The sequence below is a fragment of the Homo sapiens genome, chromosome 12 (genome assembly GCF_000001405.40).
Source record: "Homo sapiens chromosome 12, GRCh38.p14 Primary Assembly".
NCBI lineage: Eukaryota > Metazoa > Chordata > Mammalia > Primates > Hominidae > Homo > Homo sapiens.
The window spans coordinates 95,848,769-95,870,698 of NC_000012.12; the positions used below are offsets into that span (position 1 = coordinate 95,848,769).

Sequence of the window (21,930 nt, forward strand, 5' to 3'; positions counted from 1 at the left end):
GTGGTAAGAACGTCCTGTGTAAGTACGTGGAGTTGTGAGAAAAAGCATGGCCGGCGGTGCAAGGGCCAGCTTTGCGGTTCATGGGACAGAAGGGAAAGAGATGAAGGAGTTTGTTTTAGGCTGCTAGTCATGGGTAACCAACAAAGGTTACCCATATCCAACTAAAATGTCCAGGTCTTCGGTTTGTTTTGAAGGAAAGGAGGTCAGATACCTCTGGCAACAGGGTAATAGATGAGGAAGTAGAATAAGCTTTATTTTTTAAAATTGGATTCAATGGAGACATTTGAGGGGTGAAGGAGGTGGGGGGAGACTGTATGGCACAGGATACTATGGGGAAAATTCCATGAGGTTTTGTTTTGTTTCCTTTAGTGTTTTGAGAACAGTGAAGTCCTATTTGTACTGATTAACTTTGAAGTGCTTATGTGGCAAACAGAACTCTTATTCCAAATTCACCACTGCCACCCGCTGGAACCATGGCAAAAAACAGAAAAGTGTTTAAAGTCAGTATTGAACACTGATCATCTACTTGAGTGGTTTCCAGCCATTTCATCCACAGACTTCTTTTATTATCTACTCGCCCCCACAGATTGAATCTATGATTTACAAAACTCAAAGACATTACTTATTTAAAATTTGTTTCCCATTTTAATAATCAGATACATAAATAAATGCCAGTCAGAGCTTCTGACCCATGATGATCCACCAGTATTCGTATTTTAAGGTGACTTCATTCCAAGCAAAAGCAAAGACACATGAGGTCTTAGTCTATAGTGTCTTTATTAAAATAAATGTACAATTTGTTGGTTATTTTTCTTTGTTTTTGAAAATAGTTTGCAAAGCCACAACACTACCTGCAAACTGATCCAGGTTCAGGGGCCTGTGGGGCCATTGATCTCCAGTGGTCCTCAACCAGGGGCAACTGTGCTCCCCAGGGGACATTTGGCAATGCCTGGAGACATTTTTGGTTGTCAAACCTGGGTGGGGGAGGGACTACTGGCATTTAATGGGTAGAGGCCAAGGATGCTGCTAAGCAACCTATTATGCACAGGACAAGTCACAAAATAAGAATTATTTGTGGCTGGTTGCGGTGGGTCACTCCTGTAATCCCAGCACTTTGGGAAGCCGAGGCAGGCAGATTGCTTGAGCTCAGGAGTTCAAGACCAGCCTGGACAACATGGCGAAAACCTGTCTCTACCAAAAATACAAACAATTAGCTGGGCATGGTGGTGCACACCTGTGGTTCCAGCTACTTGGGAGGCAGAGATGGGGGGATCACTAGAGCCCGGGAGGTGGAGGTTGCAGTGAGCCAAGATTGAGCCATTGCATTTCAGCCTAGGTGAGAGAGAGACCCCGTCTCAAAAAAACGGGGTCTCAAAAAAAGAAAAAAAGAAAAATAAAGAAAAAAGAATTATTTGGTCCAAAATGTCAATAATATCAAGGTTGAAAACTCTGATCTAGCCCAATCCCTACAGTGTATAAAGGAAGAAAATAAGATCCAAGACAATTAAATGACTTTTTCTTTTATTTTAGTAGGCAATACATTCAAAAGTTCCAAAAATAGAACATTAAAAGGGTATGTAGGATTTGAACAGATATTTCTCCAAAGAAGATATACAAATGGCCAATGAGCAAATGAAAAGATTCTCAGCATCATTAGTCATTAGGAAAATGCAAATCAAAACCACAATGAGATACTGCTTTATAGCCACTAGCATGGCTATAATTAAAACAACAACAAAAACGGAAAATAACAAATTGTTGGTGAGAACGTGGAGAAATTGGAACCTTCATACATTGCCGGTGGGAATATAAAATGGCGCAGCTGCTGTGGAAAAGTTTGGCAGTTCCTCAAAAAAAGTTCTGTGTAAAATTATGATATGACCCAGCAATTCCACACCCCTAGGTATATGTCCAAAGAAATTGAAAACAGGTATTCAAACAAATACTTGTACACAAATGCTCATAGCAGCAAAATTCACAGTAGCCAAAAGGTGGAAACAACCCAAATGTCCATTAACAGGTGCAGGGATAAACAAAATGTGGTATATACATACAGTGGAATCATACTCATACATTAAAAGGAATGAAGTACTACTACTACAACAAGCTACAATGTGGGTGAAGCTCAGAGACATTACACTTAGTGAAAGCCAGATATAAAAGGTCACATGTTGTTTCTATTTATATGAAATATCCAAAACAGGTAAATTTATAGAGATAGAAAGCAGACTGAGGGTTGCCATGGGCTAGGAGAGAAGGAAGATAGGGAGGAACTGCTTAATGACTACAGAGTTTTCTTTTAAAGTTGTGAAAATGGGCTGGGCACAGTGGCTCATGCCTGAAATCCCAGCACTCTGGGAGGCCGAGGCAGGCAGATCACTTGGGGTCGGGAGTTCAAGACCAGCCTGGCCAACATGGTGAAACCCCGTCTGTACTAAAAATACAAAAATTAGCTGGGTGTAGTGGCATGTGCCTATAATCCCAGCTACTCAGGAGGCTGAACCAGGAGAATCGCTTGAACCCAGGAGACGGAGGTTAGCAGTGAGCCGAGGCTGCACCACTGCACTCCAAACTGGGTGACAGGGCGAGACTCCATCCCAAAACAAACAAACAAATAAATGAACTTGCAAAAATGTTTTGGAATTATATAGAGGTGGTGGTTGCAATAACATTGTGAATGTACTATATGCCACTCAATTGTATACTTTGAAATGGTTAATATGTGAATTTCATAATTAAAAGTTTTTAAAAAATGCATAGTGAAACATCTCATCATTGTCTGCCCTCAGTGTAGTTCCCACTACACCCATAGGCAACCCGTGTTCTTAGTATCTTAGGAGCCCTCCAGTATACTTATGCACATACACAGAAATGGATAGCTTGTTATCCCCTTCTTTCTCTTTTTATACAGAGGCAGCATATTTTGCAAATTATTCGGTGCCTTGTCTTTCTCAGCAATTTATCATGGAGATCTTTCTGTGGCCTTGACACTCTTGAACATTGCAGGCCACTTTGTTCCTCAATGTGGTTTGTCTGATATTTCCTGATTACTAGATTCAGGTTATGTGGCTTTGGTAAGAATATCACAGAATGCATCTTTTCTTTGCATCTTATCATGTGGCACCTGATTTTGATTTTCCAGTTGCTAACGATAGTTGTTTGATCACTGGATTGTAATAAGATGGTGTCTACCAGTTACTATAGTGAAGAAGACTGAAAATAGCCAATGTTCGAAGGGATCCTGATTCCTTTAGTGGGAAGCAGTTTCTAGAAACTAAAACCTGAGCATTAAGTATGCTCATTATTATAGGTTGATTCCTTTGATTAGTGCCCTTGTAACAAATTTCCCTTCCTGCCATTGTCCCCTCCCCTGCATTTCTTCTTCATTCCATTCAGGTTCTGACACCGTGTGCCAGGTCATTCTGCATGGACATCCTCCTTGCTTCCTTTAGGCTCTGACACTCCACAGCAGGCCACCCTCTTCCCCGCAGTGTGGACACCCTCTTAACCCCACTCAGGCTCCAACACTCCCTGTCAGGCCACCCTCTGGGGATGCTTCATCCTACTTGGGCTCCAATGGCTGGTGCTGGGCTGCCCCTCGCCATGCGTGATCACCATCCTCACCTCCTCAGGCACCAACTTCCCATGTTTGCCTGCCCTCCTATGTAGATACCTTCCTCCTCCTGCTCAGGCTCTGACACCCCACACTGGCTGCTCTCTTATGTGGATGTTCTCCTCACTCCATTCAGACCACTGTGACTACCCCCATACCCCAGCACAGGTGCATACTTTGCTTACTCCATCTAATGGTTTTAAAACCACATCTTCAGGAAGGATAGAGGAACAACCTTGTACTAACTCCTAACATCCACTACCACACTGGGAGAAAGAAACAATTATCCCTATGTCATGGGAAAATAAGCTTAGTGAGGGCGGGTAACTTACACAAGTTCCCACTAGTAAGTGTTGGGGGCAGGATTCAAACTCAGATTCGAACCTGGCCTCTAGAACCAGCATTATCAACCATTATGTTGTCAATCATATAAAACAATCATATAATGTGCTATTAAATATACTGTTTTTATTATCTTCTGCTGCCGTATATACTGCCTTCTTTTTTTGAGACAGAGTCCCATTCTGTCGCCCAGGCTGGAGTGCAGTGGTGCCATCTCGGCTGACTGCAGCCTCTGCCTCCTGCGTTCAAGTGATCCTTGTGTCTCAGCCTCCTGAGTAGCTGGGCTTACAGGCATGCACTACCATGCTTGGTTAATTTTTGTACTTTTAGTAGAGACGAGGTTTAGTAGAGATGGGGTTTCACCATGTTGGCCAGGCTGGTCTTGAAATCCTGGCCTCAAGTGATCCACCCACCTCGGCCTCCCAAAGTGCTGGGATTACAGGCATGCACCACACTGCCTGGCCTATACTGCTTTTTTAATATAACTCAATATATATGAACAAATTGTATGCATCCACTCATTTTCTGTCTCATCTGTTTCCCAGGTCCTTGATTGCTAGCTCCCTCCAGCTCCCTCTGCACTTAATGGCTAATAAATGTGGTTTTGGGTCTAGACTAATCTCTTATATCTTGAGTTATTAGGCAAACTAATTTTCTGGTCCATAAAGGGATTGGTCTCCCCATAAATATATAAGGTGCTACTTTTACATTGGTTTTACATTACTTAAACCAAGCTTTTGGGGATAATTAGATTTTGATTGAATATAAATGTAGGAGAACAAATATTTATCGAACTGACCAGATATTGTACTGCGTTGCATATATTATCTCATTTAATGTTCTTCATTTAATGTTAACCCTGTGAGAGTCAGGAGAGAACCCCAACTTCAGGTAGCAAGGAGTAAACCTGCTGTCTCTCCACAGGTGCTGAAAGGAGACAATGAGACTATGTGGATCAGAACAAGACAGTTTACTACACACAGCAAACAGAAGCATTGTCTTAGCCATGTCAGCCTCCCTTGCCCCCCAGGTCCCAAGAGGTGAAGTGATAGACCCAGACAGATAGATGTGCACAGTGGATTCCAGCACAGCTGAAGAATCAAAGCCAACAGCCCAGAACTTTTTGAGCAAGCAGCAGTTTAGCAAACAGCAAACAAGTAGTCCAATATTAGTTATTAGCATTAGTTATTGTAGGTCACATTGACCTACTCACGTGCCTACGTACCTCGCTACAGAAACTATTCAGTATCAGGAGGTGGATAAACACCACAAATATTGTATCCTAATAGCAGCCTTATAAGATGGGTATTGAACTGGGCATGGTGGTATACACCCATAATCCCAGCCACTTGGGAGACTGAGACAGGAGGATTGCTTGAGCCCAGGAGTTTGAGACCAGCCTGGGCAACATAGTTACAGCCCACCTCACTAAAAAAAAATTTTTTTAAGATAGGTACTATCATGATCATCCTCTTTATTGATGAGGAGATTGAAGCAGAGATAAGCTGCACATGGCAGAGTCAGGATTTGAACTCAGACAGTATTGGCTCCTACCCACAATACCAGGTTTCCTTTGTTGGGGCTCAGAAAATGATACCCCGAAGCATACTGCTACTTTGCACTAAAGCAGCAGCCTCAGAACCAAGGTCTGACCTTCTCTCTGACCTTCTCCCACCCCCCATCTCTTGCCCCTCCTCCTCTCCTGAAGCACAGGAAGAGACTTTTCTCTGAAGTTTCCTTATCTACCTAAAGATCCAATCCACTGAAGAGGAAAACAATTGTCTTCAATCTTCTTACTGAAATTTCATTAACCAAGGAAAATTAAACTCATATCACAGAGGAAAAGACTGAAAATCAAACACCATACCCACAGCCCAGATGAACTTTGTCCCAGACTATTGTCTGTTCCATGGACCCATTCATCTCTTGTAAAAATCACTTATTACTCTTCTAAAATTGCCTACATCCTGCATTCCCCTCTCCCCTATGCATAAGGGTATATAAACTTCTAGACCTTATTGGGTCTAGCACTACTAGAATTGGGCATTCGCCTTCCTGTGATGCTCCCATGCGCATAAATCAATTACGCTGTGCTTTTTCTCCTTGTTTTGGATAGATAGACCAATTGGTCTATTGTCTATTTATTTCTCAGACTCAAATATCAAACCTCAAGAGGTGAGAGAGGAGGTTCTTATGCTCCTACACCTTTGAGGTATGATTGTCTCTCTATAATGGTACAATGGGCTTTGAACCACCAAAAAGATTTGAATTCTAATCTAGGTTCAGTGTTTGTATGATCCAAAGAAGCTTATATATTTTTTAATCTTAACTTCTTCGGTAGACAGAATACCATATCTCTCAGGTTTGACAAAAAATATATAAAAAGCTTCCACCTGACAGCATTCAAATCTTGGATTTTTCCTCCTTTAAACCTATTCCGATCATACCTGTAGCTGATTCTGGCCATAATCAGAAAAAAATAAGATGTTGGAATTATGAGAATAAACAAAATAAAAAGAAGAGCTCATCAATTTCAAAAGTAACTTCCTAAATGCTATCCCTCTTCATTGACTGCATTAATATTTGTATTTCTATATATTTGTTTATTTGTACTCTACTTAACCACATTTTTGGGAGCGGCAGCATCGTATAAAGGAAAAATCTTAGGCTTTGGAGCCATTTTACCTTCCACATGGCTTTTGACAAAAATACATAATCTCTCTGAAGCTGTCTCCTCATCTCTAAAATGGGGATGATAATAATATCTACCTTGAAGTACTGTGAGGATTTAAATTAGACAAATTACATAATAAAATATCCTAGCATAACATGAAAGGCATTCAATATGTATTGGTCCCCTTCTTCTCAAAGAGGTTTTAAAATTCCACAAGGGCAGACATCATACATTCATTTTACTCACCTCAGTAAATATTTCTAAATCATTTCATAAATTCCTTTTTAGATGGTTGTATACAACTGGAATTTTTGGGTTATAGGATAAATAATGGTAGAACTCACCAAACTGTTCATCCTAATTAACAATTAGGGGTCGTTTTCTTCATATGTGCTCAAAATGTATTCTATCTCATCTTCGAAAAAATACAAAGTCTGTTATTTCCCCTATATTTGAAGCAATTATTCTGATGAATATTCTGTGGAGCCATATGCCAACATGGCAATATATATATTTGCCTTTAAAATAGTAATGCCTTTTAACCTAGGAATTATATTTGTAAGAATTTATGGTAAAGAATCAAAAATACACTTGAAGATTCATGTAAAAGTATGTTCAGTGCAGACTGTTTATAACAGGAGAAAAAATGAAAATAATAGAATAATACATTATCACAGATGCAAAATACAAAGTATAATGAAGACATTAAGCCACATTTTAGAAGAGTATATTCAGTCATATGAGAATTTGCTCAATATAAAGTGAAGAAAACAAGTTACAAAACTGTGTGTAGGCTGGGTGTGGTGGCTCACACCTGTAATCCTAGCACTTTGGTAGGCTGAGGTGGGCAGACTGCCTGAGCTCAGCAGTTCAAGATCAGCCTGGGCAAAGTGGTAAGACCCCATCCCTACTAAAAATTAAAAAAAAATTAGCAAAAGATTAGCTGGACGTGATGCTGCATGCCTGTAAGCCCAGCTACTCAGGAGGCTGAGACATGAGAATTGCTTGAATCTGGGAAGCGGAGGGTGCAGTGAGCTGAGATCGCACCACTTAACTCCAGCCTGGGTGACGGAGTGACACTCTGTCTCCAAAACAACAACAAAAAAGAAAAAACAAACAACAGCAACAAAAAACTGTAGATATCTTGTAAAAAAAAAAGTGCATATGTTACAGTAAAAGTTAATTGTTGTTCTCTTTGATTGGTGGGATTACTAGTGATTTTAGGTTTATTGTTTAGAACTTTCTACATTTTCCAAAATTTTGTATAATATTTATAATTAGACAAATATCAGTGACTTATGCCCACTTAATTTTAATAAGGTATTTAAGATTAAAATTTAATATGGACCAGGAATGGTGGTTCACGCCTGTAATCCCAGCACTTTGGGAGGCCAAGGTGGGTACACAGCTGGAGCCCAAGAGTTTGAGACCAGCCTGGACAACACAGCGAGACCCTATCTCTACAAAAAAAATTAAAAAATTAGCTGGGTGTGGTGGCACATGCCTGTGGTCCCAGCTACTCGGGAGGCTGAAGTGGGAGGATCTCTTGAGCCCAAGAGGTCAAGGCTGCAGTAAGCCAAGATCTCACCTCTACAATCCAGCCTGGGTGACAGAATGAGACCCTGTCTCAAATTAAAAAAAAAATTTAACATGAAAAGAAAAACCAACCTTAAATACACTATCTTTACAGAATGTGTTTACTGTAGTATTTCGTTTCACTTCACTGAGAAAACAGCTAAAGAGTCAGGCTTCTAAAACACATATTGAGTCTTTGAAAGGTAGCTTCATGAAGTAGAAAAAGCAGAGTTTTGAAACCCAGGTATGTGGTCCTGAGCAAGCTATGAGGCAGAAGAATAGCGGCTGGAAGCAGGGAACCTAGGGCCCATCCATGCTGACTGGGTATCAGAGGCTACTCCCATTTCAACCCCTCCTTTTTCTGCGTGGCAGTTGAAAAATGAAAGTACCTCTTATTGGTCCCCTCCCGCAACCAATCAGACTGGTTGTGGGCCAATGGGCAACCTCTAGAGGGTATTTAAAGCCCAGAAAATTCTATAACCAATGCTCTTGAGCCGCTTGCACCAGGCGGTGCCCACCCTGTAGAGTGTACTTTCATTTAAAATAAATCTCTGCTTTCGCTGCCCTGCTTTGTTTGTGCGTTTTGTCCAATTCTTTGTTGAAAACGCCAAGAACTCGGACAGCTACCCTCAACTGGTAACAGTTACCTGCTGGGCCTACTTCCTCATCTCTTAAACGGGGCTGTCACCCCGAATCAGACAGTAAGGTAAGATTTCCACGATTGTTGAAAAAGCCTGACACATAGTAGGAACTCAAAGTCTATACAAAGACTTAAAGTTCATAAAACAATAGACAAACGGAGAAATCCACTGAAGTTTAGGGTGAATAAATCTAATAACTGTTTGGTAAAAACTACACTGACAATCATTGTCTGGTCAGTGTTCAACATTTACGTGAAACACTGAGCTTTTACAAGGCCAAGCCCCGTTTTACGTTAAATTCTCGCAACCACCCTGAGGATGGTTCCGTTTTTAAAGCCGCGTTCCTGCCGAGGAAACAATGGCCCTCGGGGTTAAGACACTGCCCAACACCGGCCGCGCCTGATAGACGCAGGTTCCGAATGCAGGCCCCCTCCAAAGTCTTGCCCACTGCTCCACAATGCCTCAACACCCAACATTTCATCCTCAACTCCAAATCCATCTCTTCAGGGCCGCAAAAAAGCGTTACTTCCCAAAGGGCGTGTTCTCCAAGAACTGCATTTAGCATTTCAGATCAGAGTGACCCGAACTCAATAGGATTACGACAAAAACTAGTGAGATTCAGATAACACCGTTACATCGAAAGTTTTAATCCGTGACAGAGGAAATATTGCTTACGCCCTTAGGTAATTTCAAATGCACGTATGAAGGCCGTGCGGGTTTCTGCAGGCGAAGCAAAAGAAAGGTGGGGCCGGCAGGGTCGTGGGGCGGGGGTGGGGCATGACACCGTATCCCAGACGCAACTCGACCTCGTTTGCAAGAAATTCTGTATCCAACTCTCTTCAGTGCGTTTCGCCGCCCCTAGTCTAGTCTGGCTAGCCCCCAATTCCTTTAAAAGGGGTTAAAACGGGTGTTGCAGAAGAGAGAACACTCAGGTAGAAAGGGCCTGCGGCAGAGGCGCCCCCAAATCATGGAACCTGTTGGAAGAGTGAGGAAGGAACTCTGGGACCCCGAACATTCTCACGGGTGTAAAAAGACAAAGTAAATCCCCATTAGCCAAGTTGGGGAGAAGTCACATCCGTTACACAGCCTCTCCCAGACCGCCCTCTAGGAAGGACACCACATTTAAAAACACCGGCCTGCCTCCAGTCCTTGGCTGCCTCACAGCGATGCTCAGAGCCGGTTTCCCAAGGTCCGCGCGCCGCCTGCAAGGCGCAAACCCAAGCCGCTGCTGGTTGCTAGGAGATACTGGGCCAGCCATCTCCTCCAATCAGCACGCACCTCTTTGCGTCCAATCACAGAGGCAGGAAGGGCCGTGGTGGGAGGTGAAAGGTCATAGTCCTGTTTGGCGGCCATTTCTCTTGAAACTGCGGCTCGGGACCTGCGGTACCTGCTGTAGTCACGAGGGACGGGCGGCGGCCTGGTCGGCAGAGAGTAGCCTGCAACATTCGGCCGTGGTTACGATGGTAAGGAGAAAGAGAACGGCGGGAGAAGCGGGGAGAAAGAGAAGGAGGGAGACCAGCCTCGCGGGGCCTGCTGGTTCCTTCGCGCGTTTCCCATTCATCCGCGTGAGGCGCCGCGCACCCTGTCGCCAGCTCCTTTCACTCTGCTTTTAGGTTTCTGAGGCGCGTGCTCCTCCCGATGCCTTTCTTTTCCTAGGAGTGCCCGTGCCTTCTTCTCTTTGTTTGAATCCGGGCCTGGGGTATTCTTAGTTGGGGCTATAGGGTCGGGGTAAAAGTCAAAGAGAATTTGCACTTCCCACTTAACCACACTCCAGAATTCACTTTCATTCCGTGAAAGTAATGATACGGCCATGCTCTAGATTAACTCACTTGGGTGGGGAAGACAGACATTAGTCAAAAAATAACAAGTATGTAATTGCAAATAATAAGTGCTAAGAACAATGCAGACAGGAGGCTGTGAGGGTGCGCGTTAGACATTAGAGGCTTAGTCAGAGATGGCCTCCCTAGGAGGTGGAATTTAACTCGAAGCCTAAGTGTCATGAAATACGACCCTTTAAAGAGCAGGAGGAGGAGTGTACCGAGCACAGGGAATAGGAGCATAAGACCTGCGGCCGGAAAGAAAGCTTGGTCATTTGGAGAAATTGACAGAAAGGTATAGCCACTTGCGCGAATAGTGGTTAAGAGATGGTATCGGAGGAGCAGGCGTTGGGCAGGACCTCTTAGGCTGTATTGGGAGGTTTTGATTGTACTCCAAATCAATTTAAAATGATTCGGTTGGAAGCCATTGGATCATTTTAAGCAGAAATATGACAATCTGATGTGCACTTTAAAAAATCATAGTTACTGTGGTGGATAACAAATTGGAGAATGAAAACTGGAGACCCATTAGGTTATTGGAGTAATCGCCATATCAAGATCACTCCGAATATGCTCATGTTAGAGGGGGTTAGTAGCCAAGTTTCTTAGTTCTCTTCTTTGTTTGACTGGTGAGTGAGCAGAAGAGGGCAAAAACCGAAATCACTGGAGATGTTAATGGTTTGCTGAATAAATAGACATTAAGTAATTGCTGTAAGTAAGAGGCGGTGCTACTGACAAAGTCAGATAGGACCTAGCCCTAGCTTCCCCAGTTAAATACTGTCAAGCGTGATCTGCCCTCTGCTTCCTTCTGTAGTTTTATATTTGGGGCTTTGACTGACAATGCTGAATTGTATGTCCCCAAAACCACCTTGTTGCATCACTCTTCCCTCCTTTTACATAAGTAGCTAGCCTTGCCTGGAACAGCATTTTTTCCCGCTCTGGAAATAAACTCTTATCCTTTAAAACTGAGGTATTACTTATTTCAGGCAACCTTTCCTTTTTCCCCTGGATTGCTTTGGTACCCTTGTGCCTAGTATATCTCCTTTTACTACAGTGCAGCATGCAATATAATTATTTGTATGTGAGGAGTTCCCCTCCCCATCTCCAACTTCTTGACAGGGACTCATTTATTTATTTATTTATAAGAGACAAGGTCTTGCTCTGTTGCCCAGGCTGGAGTGCAGTGGCCTAATCATAGCTCACTGCAGCCTCGAGCTCCTGGGTTCAAGCAGTCCTCCCACCTCATCCTCCCTAGTAGCTGGGACTACAGGTGTGCACCACCACACCTGACTATTTTTGGTAGAGATGGGGGTCTCACTATGTTGCCTGGGCTGGTCTTGAACTCGTGACCTCAAGTGATCCCCCGGCCTTGGCCTTCCAGATTACTGGAATTACAGATACGAGCCACCCTACCTGGCCCGCTTTTTTTTTTTTTTTTTTTTAGTGCCTTTATCTTTGTTTCTTTAGAGCTCAGAACAGTGAGTGATGTAGGTAGTCAGTGTATCTTAAGTGAATAGTCAGTGTTTTGTTTTGATGGGTTAAAGGTGAAATTGGCTAACTGGATATTTAAATTTCCCTGGTACTCTCAACAAATAAAAGTGAAAATTATGTACTAAAATAATAAGGAGTCAAAAGTTTTCTTCATTTGCATACCACAAAATATTGGTGATTCGGTAGAAGAGAGTTGGTGGTGGGAGGAAAAATAATTAATTAGATCCTTTTTTGTTCTTTGTGCAGAGTTTACCCCTCAATCCCAAACCTTTCCTCAATGGACTAACAGGAAAGCCAGTGATGGTGAAACTTAAGTGGGGAATGGAGTACAAGGGCTATCTGGTATCTGTAGATGGCTACATGAACATGCAGGTAAGCTAAAGAGCTGTAAAGGTCATAACATTGCATTTATTTTGCTTCACCTTATTTCTCAAAGGTTTAGTCTGACTAATAAGAATACATACAATTAAATTGACAAATATACGGCAAAATTCAAAAATAAAGTCAAAGCCAGGAGGGATACTGTGATATACTAGGTACAAGACATGGACTTAAACCAGAATTCAGCTACAGATTTTATTCCTAGTAGTTAAAGTAGGAAGAGCTCAGACACTTGATTCATAATAATACCATAAGGGAAACACACTACTTTGCTGGAGAAAACAAAACATTTCTCATCATTTAGCCCTGAAAGAAAGTTTTCAAGTGAAATTATTGAGTCTTTTAATGAATGCTAAAGGCACAACACCAAAGCTATTGAGGAAATTCATTCCTTCAGGGGAAAGACAGATCTGCCAAAGGAATTGAACTGACTGTATGTCTGTCAAACGAGTTTCTGTAAATGATTCAGCCATGTGTTTTGGTGGGTTTTTTTGTAATTAATTATCTTTTTATTGTGGTAAAATATACATTACAATTTTGCCACTCTAACCATTTTTAAGTGTATAATTCAGTGGCATTAAGTACCTTCACATTGTTCTGCAGCCATCACCGTTGTCCATTTCTGGAACTTGTTTACCATCCAAAAGTGAAATTTTTTGCCCATTAAACAATAATTTTCCATTAAACAATAATTTTACAATTAAACATTAAACAATAATTTTCCATTCCTTCCTCCACCTAACTAACCCCTGGTAACCACTAGTCTACATGTCTATGAATTTGACCGTGCATAATACCTCATGTAAGTGGAATTGTGTATTATCCTTTTGTGTCTGGCTTGTTTGACTTAACGTAGTGTATTATTCAAGGTTCATCCATGTTGTAGCATGTGTCAGAATTTCCTTTTTATGACTGAATAATATTCCATTATATGGATATACCACATTCTAATCCATTTGCCTCTTGGTGGACACTGGGTTGCTTCCCTCTTTGGACTGTAGTAAATAATGCTGCTGTGAACATGGGTATACGAATGTCTGTTCCAGTCACTGCTTTCAGCTCTTTGGGGTATATACCCAGAAGTGGAATTACTGGATTACTGGTAATTCTATGTTTAATTTTTTAAGGAGGCCAAGCGTGGTGGCTCATGCCTGTAATCCCAGCACTTTGGGAGGCTGAGGCAGCAGATTGCTTGAGCCCAGGAGTTTGAGACCAGCCTGGGCAACATAGTGAAACTGCATCTCTACAAAAAAAATACAAAAACTAGCTAGGCATGATGGTGTGGGCAGCTATATTCCCAGCTACTCAGGAAGCTGAGTTGGGAGGATTACCTGAGCCTGGGGAGGTTGAAGCTGCAGTGAGCTGTGATCACTGCACTCTAGCCTGGATGACAGAGAAATTTTTTTTTTTCTTTTGAGTAACTGTCACACTATTTTCCACAGCAGCTACGTGGTTTTACATACCCACCAGCAATGCACAACGGTTCCAGTTTCTCCACATCCTCACCAACACTTGTTATTTTCTATGGGTGTTTATAAAATAGTTATTCTAATGGGTGTGAAGTGGTATCTTATTGTGGTTTTGATTTGCATTTGGCTAATGATGTTGAGCACCTTTTCATGTGTTTATTGGCCATTTGTTTATCTTTGGAGAAATGCCTGTTCATGTCTTTTGCACATTTAAAAAATTAGTTTGGGATTTTTTGTTGTTTTTTTAATGGTAGTAGTTTCCAGGCAGGTTTTTAAAGGCTATCAAGACAGGTGGTCAATCCAATCATGAATCCAAGGATTCCATACTTGTAAGCAGAGTACTAAAAGGAGTACTTAAGTAGGCAGAGAGCTATGATTTTCCTTAACTTAGGCAATTACCACCTGAGCACATGACATTAAGGCCCCCAAAGCATAGTTTGAGTGTGGAAAATTCCTTAAACAGGAGTCATTTACCAAGACCATAGAAAAATCTGGGAAGTATATGAATTGTGATGAAAATATTCTGGAAGTAGTGGTGATAGTTGCACAGGTTTTTGAATATACTGAAAACCACTGAATTGTACACTTTAAAAGGGTGAATTTTATGCTATGGAAATTAACATCTCAATAATAAAAGAATTACCACTTAATATTTGTTTTAGAATTAATATAGCTTGCTAGTGACCCTGCTAGAGTTGCAAAATGTCTGAGTAACCAACCACTTTGAGTAGTCAACCATATTGATACCAGTGTTTGAATTTGTTCACTCAGCAAATATTTATTGAATTCCATTATGTGCCTGGCACTGTGAATATAGCATTGAACAAAACAAAGTCCCTGCCCTCAACAGTTTATGGTTTAGTGGTGGGAGGTGGTAATATAATGTGATAATAGGCATGATAGATGCCATCCATGAAGAAAAGGGGGAAGACAGTATGTGCAATATTATATAGAGTAGCCTCTCTGAGGAGGCGAATTCTGGAAGATACCAGAATTAGTGTACAACTCAGTTGAGTATCTGGGGAAAAGCATCCCAGTTTGAGGGAACAGCAAGTACAAAGGCCCTGTGGCAGAAGCATGCTTGGTGTGTTCAAGGCACAGCAAAAAGGCCAGAGCAGATTGAGTTAAGGGACGAATGACAGAAAGTTAGGTTAAAATGGCGGCCATAGAGAGCCTGTTAAGTGATGGTGAAGAACATGATAGAAAGTATTTGGAACATTATTGTGTAATTTAGAAATGTTAAATGTTGTAATTACTTTTTACAAAAAATTAGTTGCTCTTAATACATTATTTCTTATAGCTGTTACATACAAACTGTCTCAACAACCTCGTATATTTCAGACAAAACTATATCATCTGGATAATGGAGATTACTTTTTGTTGTCTATAAGAAAGGGAGTAACATCCAGTAGTAGTGTTCATTACCATGTTTTTCATGCCTTATGAAACATCCTATTTTAATCCTTATTGTTAAGCCCTATTTTTCTTTTCCTTTTCCACGTGCCTAATTGTGAAGGAAACCTCCCTCTCTCCCATCACTCCTTAGTTCCTTCTCTGAGTCCCAAGTGGCATTGATTGTGATTTTTCTTTTAATTACAAGTAGAGCTTGTTACCTATATGTAGAAGGAAAGCTAAACATTTTGATATAAAATTAGAAATAATTCACCAAAATAACTGTAGGTAAAGTAAGAAGAGCTCAGACATTCGATTCATAATAATACCATAAGGGAAACACACTACTTTGCTGTAGTTCACCAAAATAGCTGTAAAGGTCACTGTTAACTATTTACCTTTCTCTTAAGAACTTGTTTTTCCCTGTTTATTAGTACATAATTAAAAATTCTTATTCAGGCCCAGATGTGATAGCTTATGCCTGTAATCCCAGCACTTTGGGAGGCCAAGGCAGGAGGATCACTTGAAGGCAGAAATTCAAGACCAGCTTGGGCAATATAGCAAGATCTCATCTCTACAGAAAAAATTGTTTCGAAGTAGCCAGGCTTTGTGGCACATGCCTTTAGTCCTAGCTGCTCAGGAGATTGAGGCAGGAGGAGCCCAGGTGTTCAAGGTTTTGGTCAGCTATGATTGTGCCACTGCATTCCAGCCTGGGCAACAGAGGGAGACCCTGTTTCTTAAAAGACAGGAAAAGAAGAAAATTCTTACTCAATTATTTGCTTTGGTTGTTGACTAATATAAAAGTATTTGGCATGTTAGCCATAGCTTTCGTATACCTATTTGGACACCTCAATATGAGTTAGAGACTGCCTTCTTCCACACACTGTTTTAATATCTAATAGAAAGAAATATTACATAACCTGGGAGATTCAGAAACTTATGTTGAAACAAGCTTTGAATATTAATTTCGTTGAAGGTTTATATGAAACCAAAAGTACTACAATAGTAATAGAAAGCTCATCTTCTGTTTATTAATTATAGATAAATTTGAGTTGTTGGTATAGAAAGGTCTCAGTTAATGAGTTCTCTCACCAATATTAGCTGTATTGTAATATTTTCCTCCTGTGTGATTATACTAATATATTTCTTTTTATTGAAAGCTTGCAAATACAGAAGAATACATAGATGGAGCTTTGTCTGGACATCTGGGTGAAGTTTTAATAAGGTAACAAACAGCAGTAGTATATGTAAGGAGTTACTGGTGAGCATTAGGAATACCTGTTCTAAATATATTAGTGCCTCAATTTTGGAATTACTTTTTTTTAAAAAATCACTATTATAATACTTTACAGTTAGACTTCAGAAGTCTTTGAAATTGTTAAACTTGTCAAAGGTAAGTTTTCAAATGTTTTGGAACTGGCCAAAAGATTTTTCTAGTGTTGATGTTTAATTTTCTAGCTCTTAGCTATAATCTTTTGCAGTGGCAACCTTTTGCAGTGGCCTTTGTTGCGGGAACTTAGTTTTGAATTTTAGTTGGGTCTGGCTGTTTTGTTATATTGATTTTCTGTACTAGCTTCAAAGCTCCAAATTCTGGTAATTATTTCCTTTGGAAAATCATAAAGATGTCATTTTATAACAACCATATGGTGGAAAATAAGTGCCATGTGCTTTTCAACAAATCTATGTGAAACTTTTTTTTAAAATGAATATATTTAAAAAATTTTTTTAAAGACAAGAATATTATAAATATAGTATTCAGTATTTTCATAATAAAAATATAGTAATTCATATCATACATGGTTTCTGGTTGGAACAACAAAATCGACTTTTTCTATTTACAGGTGTAATAATGTCCTTTATATCAGAGGTGTGGAAGAAGAGGAAGAAGATGGGGAAATGAGAGAATAGCATCTTTTGTGGGGGATTTTTTTTATATATATTTCTAGACAATAAAGATTTGTTTGTTTTTCAACTTGACTTGTGAACTATTTGTATTCAGATATTTACAAGCAAAGCTGAAATGATGAACCAATTGGGAAAGATTACTCACTGAACTAATGCTTTAAAAGCCACTGAATTTCATTTAAGTTGCTTTTCTTTTGTAAGCCCAATATTCTTTTTTTTCCCATAAAGGATAATTATTTATATGCTTTAGATATTTTTATGAAGGTGAATTTCAGACCTTTTCTTGTAAAATTATCTATTAGCTGAGACCTTTTAAATGCAACTTTTTCTTTTAAAGTTATTTTTGAGCTACTTTTAACGTATAAAATTAAACATTTTCTTGGTATTAATAATATACTGTCTTATTTTACTTAGTAGTCAATAAATTACATGTTAATTCTGTGTCAATATAAGCTAAATGCACATATTGCAGCTAAAATTGAAGCATCTTCTAAAAATTAAAATGATTGTACAGACAGGGCACAACAGAAATTGGGAACTGACATTCAGGCTGAAGGCATACGGTTTGTTCACTGAAGAGAAAAAAGTTCTCTGAACAAAATGTAATGTCAAATAAAAACCAGTCTCCCCATTATGTTCTGAGACATAACCTCGAGGTTGAGTTTTAAGCCCCTCAAAACCCTTCAGGTATTTTAGGGTTGTACATTGTTAAAATGTATAGTCCATAGTAATAACAGTATGCTATGAACTTCCCTACAGATGGGTTGAGAAAATACATCATTTACATTCTCATGTTGTAAGAGAATGGCCATTATTACACTTCAGTGTTCATTTACCATAGTTTTATCAGTAAACTATCTTTGTGTATCCCCAAGTGGGACAACTCAAAGTATAGAAGAAAGTGTTTAGCTATATGGAATAATACTTATGATATGAATACTTAAAGACTTAAAATTTACAAAATACACCTAAGACATTCTGGTAATAAAATGTCTTACTGCTTTTATTCAAGTAAAAAAATATTCTTCCTCTTGTGATTTTGTTTTTGTTTCATTGACTAAAGGTAGCTGCTGTTTGTTACCAGATGGAGGTTTTGAATGAAAGACAAGTCGTCTTCCCAACTGAAACAAAAGAAAAACAAAATACTTAATATTTTTTGAGCATAGCCATTTTCTATTGAAATTTGTGAAATACCAATATTAACTTGATTTTTACAAGGAATAATATGGTTTGTAACATTAACTAATCACAGTTAAAAGGGACTTATAACCTAACGGATGTCTAACATGCTAGGCAAAGTTGAGTAGCAAACTGGACACCAATAACTATGCAGAAGGAACAGCAGTTAGGTTTTATTGGGAAGTGGGAAAACTTAGGTAAAGTCATCAAATAGTATATGGTTCAAATGTGGTCAGCCTAGAAAAGCACCATGTTGAAGGCCACCATTTTATTTCTCAGTAAGTGCCATAGCCAGTTTTTCGTCCATGGTTGGAAGAGATGGCTTTCTCCTGTTGAGCACCTGACTAGCATTTAGAAATCTTGTTAAATAAAAAGTCCAGAAAACCATGTACCATCTTGAATACTGGTTGGCTTCTGGAGGTGTTCCCAACAGAAGAGGCTTTGGGAAACCCCGAGTTCATACCTATTCATTCTCTCTGGGTCATATATACTCAAATATATTACTACTTATTTTTCTCTTTACTTTTGGGATTCCCTCCTCCACTTTTTATTTTGTTTTGCTTTTATAGCTGAATTTGTATACATTAAATGTATAAGTGGGGAAACTACCATAATTCTATGAGATTTGATGGGACATTGCCACTGTGTTCAAAAGGCACTATTGACATTGTAGGACAATTCTTATGTGAGATTGTCCCCTGCATTGCAGGCCTGAGAGAACCTGAATAACAATAGCACTTTTCCCCATCATTGTAACAACAAAAATATCCTTGGGGGACTAGAATTTTTGAATTCCTTCTGCAATATCGGAATTTTTAACTGTCAAAGATCTTTGGTAACATTTGTTATTAATAGTGTCTGAGAAAATTAGCAATGATGAAGTGTCCTAACTGGGTCAGCTTCTATCAGAGGTCTTTGTGTGTTGTTGATTTATCAGATAACCATTTTTTCCCCCAATTTTTTCCAGTTTTAGTTTTTATGCTCATTTTTAGTCTGTTAATTCACTACACATCAAGTATCCATGATGTGCCAGGTATTAGGAATACAAACGTCATAAAACTCATGGTCTAGAAGGAAAGGTGAATATATTAAAAAATAATAATTTCAATTTGGTGGGTTTGCTAAGTAGTCCATGTGGAAGGGTGATGAATGGTTAATTCTTGGGAGGAGAGGACAGGTGAGGAAAGTCTTCATGGAAAGAATTGAACTAGATAAATACCTTTTTTAAGATGAAGTATTTATTTCAATAAAATATTTTGAAGTAATCGTTTTTTTGTCATGGCACATATTAATTCCCATACTTCAGAATTGTTTTCAAGTTCTTACCTCTTGAGGTTAGTTGTAAGGCACACAGTAAGCATTCGTTATGTGTTAGCTATCACTGTGGTAAGAATCAGCATCCGCAATAGCTTTGCAGATAACCATGAAATTGTCTTTCTGGAACATATTTCAGATGCTATCCCAGAGGAGGGAAAGAGTGTCATATAGAAACAAACTCCTTACCCTGTGTAGAATTGATGGACCACATGTACCTGACTACCTAATCCCAAACTTCTGATTGGACAGGTAGTCTTGCAAAATAAAGAACTTTGGCTTCTGGTCCTGATTGTGCTGCTAAGTCAAAGTGACTCTGGGCAAATCATCTTAACTCCAACTGTCAATCTCATTGTCTTTACAATGTGGGGATTATACACAGTCCCCACAGTTACATGCGATTCTCTGGGTTCACATCTCCAAAACATTACTGAGTGAAAGAAGCCAAGTTCCTAGTTATCATTAGTAAGAAAAAGAATATGTACATAAATACATATTTGTGTATGTATATTTCCAGAGGGATGCAAATGAACCTGTTAACAGTGGTTGCCTTCAGGAAGGGGAACTGAGGAAGACTGACTTTATACTGAATACTCTTGTATCTTTTGAACTTTGAACAATATGCTTTTAATCTATTCCAAAAAACAAGAAAAAAATTATCTGATTTTAATGAACCTAGGTCTAAAAAGAGGAGAGAAGAGGCTTCTTTTACTAAAATGTGTGTCTAATTGAGAACTGGAGAGCCACTAATTTGAATTATTCTAAAAGTAACAAGGAACCAGAGACCAATTGTAGCTGTGAGCAAGAAAGATTATCTTTCTGAAGTTCAACCTGGATAAGTTAGACGAATAAAGTATTTTGTTTTTGTATTTTGTATCACATATTGATATGGCTGGATCTATTAATAGCAAAACAAACCTTTTTCTTTGGTTGTGCTACTGCTTTTTCCAGAGCAGCTTTTAGCCTTTCCTGTTGGTGTCTTTGTTTTTCTTTCATTTTCTCATCACGAAACCTGTCACAAGAAGGGAGAAACATTCTTGTAACTATAAATCACATTGAGTAAGAAAAGTACATTACTATTTGTTAATGAGCCATGTGACTAGAAGACCTCCTTTAAAGGTAAATGAAAATGACACTTCATCTTTACTCATAACCGTGGCTTTTGAATATTCAGGTAAATCTCGACAACAAATACTATTTTGAAATGGGAAGAAATTTCATCATTTTGGAAAATATAAAATATACCCAGATCTTGGTCTATTTTTTTTTTTTTTTCCTCAGAGACAGAGTCTCAGTCTGTTGCCTAGGCTGGAGTGCAGTGGCATGATCTTGGCTCACTGCAACCTCTACCTCCTGGGTTCAAGCAGTTCTCCTGCCTCAGCCTCCCAAGTAGCTGGGATTACAGGTGCATGCCACCACACCCGGCTAATTTTTGTATTTTTAGTAGAGACGGGGTGTCACCATGTTTCCCAGGCCGGTCTCGAACTCCTGACCTCGTGATCTGCCCACCTTGACCTCCTAAACATTTCAGCACTTTACAGATAGTTTGTATAATAGCTACTTGAATTAACTTTCAGCTACTTGTTCCTCTTTTTAAAACTTTTAATTGAAATGTCACATACATACAGAAGAGTACACAAATAAATGCATAGCTTAGTGAGCTGCCACAAAAGTGTACCTTCCAGTTAATCTTTTTGAATAATATCCTCAAATTGTGAGCAAGAAATGCTATTTGTCATACTCTCTTTAGGGTTGTTTTGAGGGAAAAATTAAGTAATCTGTGCAACTTATCAAGTACAAGGTGGTGAGCAATAGGCACTAAATATGTGATAGCTATTTTATGGACCTATTTAATGATATTCTAAGTGTAAGGTTATATACTAGGGAATGGAAATAACATGTACTGAGCATTTTTATTGCAAAATTAGGTGCCGTGTTAGGTGCCCCAAACCATGGGGAAAATCAGCTAAAATTCTTTTTAAGAAGAATGTAAGTAATTGGAATTACATTCATGTATCACTGCTAAAAATGAGTTGTAATTACACTTTGGTGCAAATATATTTGCTAGTGTAAAAAAGATGGAAGTGCTGTTAGTGTAGTCATAATGAGGTCATCTTAGGGAAGGAGTAACTTTTCA

The 21,930-nt window shown here is 39.4% G+C and overlaps 2 protein-coding genes and 1 long non-coding RNA gene across 8 annotated transcripts in view, besides 11 other annotated features; 1 reads left to right on the top strand and 2 right to left on the bottom strand.

Moving 5' to 3' along the window:
* The window catches only part of SNRPF-DT (SNRPF divergent transcript), a 63,495-nt gene extending 53,424 nt beyond the window's left edge, over positions 1 to 10,071 (bottom strand). Inside the window, exons 1-2 of one of the 2 annotated variants that reach the window (NR_135015.1) lie at positions 9,986 to 10,071; positions 9,469 to 9,819 (exon numbers count right to left, since the gene is read on the bottom strand). This is a non-coding gene — a long non-coding RNA (SNRPF divergent transcript). Of the gene's footprint in view, positions 1 to 9,468; positions 9,820 to 9,985 lie in introns of those variants that run through there. The other variant, NR_135014.1, reaches the window with a different exon arrangement.
* Positions 1,323 to 1,467: an enhancer, noted in NCBI's record as "145 bp 12:96243941 sequence used in MPRA reporter constructs". NCBI's record gives its function as "activates a minimal TATA-containing promoter with rs11108303 allelic activity by MPRAs in C283T melanocytes {active_cell/tissue: C283T}" and the evidence as "EXISTENCE:reporter gene assay evidence [ECO:0000049][PMID:36423637]".
* Position 1,395: a transcriptional cis regulatory region, noted in NCBI's record as "rs11108303 or 12:96243941 MPRA-significant variant associated with a GWAS melanoma risk locus at 12q23.1". NCBI's record gives its function as "allelic transcriptional activity by MPRAs in C283T melanocytes {active_cell/tissue: C283T}" and the evidence as "EXISTENCE:reporter gene assay evidence [ECO:0000049][PMID:36423637]".
* Positions 2,246 to 2,390: an enhancer, noted in NCBI's record as "145 bp 12:96244864 sequence used in MPRA reporter constructs". NCBI's record gives its function as "activates a minimal TATA-containing promoter with rs12302918 allelic activity by MPRAs in C283T melanocytes {active_cell/tissue: C283T}" and the evidence as "EXISTENCE:reporter gene assay evidence [ECO:0000049][PMID:36423637]".
* Position 2,318: a transcriptional cis regulatory region, noted in NCBI's record as "rs12302918 or 12:96244864 MPRA-significant variant associated with a GWAS melanoma risk locus at 12q23.1". NCBI's record gives its function as "allelic transcriptional activity by MPRAs in C283T melanocytes {active_cell/tissue: C283T}" and the evidence as "EXISTENCE:reporter gene assay evidence [ECO:0000049][PMID:36423637]".
* Positions 7,370 to 7,514: an enhancer, noted in NCBI's record as "145 bp 12:96249988 sequence used in MPRA reporter constructs". NCBI's record gives its function as "activates a minimal TATA-containing promoter with rs10859965 allelic activity by MPRAs in UACC903 melanoma cells {active_cell/tissue: UACC903}" and the evidence as "EXISTENCE:reporter gene assay evidence [ECO:0000049][PMID:36423637]".
* Position 7,442: a transcriptional cis regulatory region, noted in NCBI's record as "rs10859965 or 12:96249988 MPRA-significant variant associated with a GWAS melanoma risk locus at 12q23.1". NCBI's record gives its function as "allelic transcriptional activity by MPRAs in UACC903 melanoma cells {active_cell/tissue: UACC903}" and the evidence as "EXISTENCE:reporter gene assay evidence [ECO:0000049][PMID:36423637]".
* Positions 9,893 to 10,508: an enhancer, noted in NCBI's record as "H3K27ac hESC enhancer chr12:96252439-96253054 (GRCh37/hg19 assembly coordinates)". NCBI's record gives its function as "activates a minimal SCP1, AML or CMV promoter by ChIP-STARR-seq in primed H9 embryonic stem cells {active_cell/tissue: H9 hESC(primed)}" and the evidence as "EXISTENCE:reporter gene assay evidence [ECO:0000049][PMID:30033119]".
* Positions 9,907 to 9,966: an enhancer, noted in NCBI's record as "active region_6816". NCBI's record gives its function as "activates an Ori minimal core promoter by ATAC-STARR-seq in GM12878 lymphoblastoid cells {active_cell/tissue: GM12878}" and the evidence as "EXISTENCE:reporter gene assay evidence [ECO:0000049][PMID:35858748]".
* Positions 10,017 to 10,076: an enhancer, noted in NCBI's record as "active region_6817". NCBI's record gives its function as "activates an Ori minimal core promoter by ATAC-STARR-seq in GM12878 lymphoblastoid cells {active_cell/tissue: GM12878}" and the evidence as "EXISTENCE:reporter gene assay evidence [ECO:0000049][PMID:35858748]".
* On the top strand, positions 10,184 to 17,372 carry SNRPF (small nuclear ribonucleoprotein polypeptide F). 2 transcript variants are annotated; one of them, NM_003095.5, is made up of 4 exons: positions 10,184 to 10,308; positions 12,400 to 12,525; positions 16,556 to 16,620; positions 17,237 to 17,372. In NM_003095.5, exons 1-4 carry the CDS (start codon positions 10,306 to 10,308, stop codon positions 17,301 to 17,303), a joined length of 261 nt encoding a protein of 86 aa, NP_003086.1. In that variant the 5' UTR covers positions 10,184 to 10,305; the 3' UTR covers positions 17,304 to 17,372. The 2 variants fall into 2 exon arrangements, with proteins under 2 accessions (NP_003086.1, NP_001381138.1); NM_001394209.1 differs by lacking the exon at positions 16,556 to 16,620.
* Positions 10,197 to 10,426: an enhancer, noted in NCBI's record as "active region_6818". NCBI's record gives its function as "activates an Ori minimal core promoter by ATAC-STARR-seq in GM12878 lymphoblastoid cells {active_cell/tissue: GM12878}" and the evidence as "EXISTENCE:reporter gene assay evidence [ECO:0000049][PMID:35858748]".
* Positions 10,457 to 10,506: an enhancer, noted in NCBI's record as "active region_6819". NCBI's record gives its function as "activates an Ori minimal core promoter by ATAC-STARR-seq in GM12878 lymphoblastoid cells {active_cell/tissue: GM12878}" and the evidence as "EXISTENCE:reporter gene assay evidence [ECO:0000049][PMID:35858748]".
* Positions 17,373 to 18,279: 907 nt separating the features above from the next.
* The window catches only part of CCDC38 (coiled-coil domain containing 38), a 76,186-nt gene continuing 72,535 nt past the window's right edge, over positions 18,280 to 21,930 (bottom strand). For all 4 annotated transcript variants that reach the window (XM_011537883.3, NM_182496.3, XM_047428281.1 and 1 more), the window contains 2 exons: positions 20,712 to 20,805; positions 18,280 to 18,421 (listed from right to left, as the gene is read on the bottom strand). In XM_011537883.3, the coding sequence (XP_011536185.1) occupies positions 18,308 to 18,421; positions 20,712 to 20,805 (208 nt within the window). In that variant the 3' untranslated portion in view covers positions 18,280 to 18,307. The remainder of the gene's footprint in view (positions 18,422 to 20,711; positions 20,806 to 21,930) is intronic.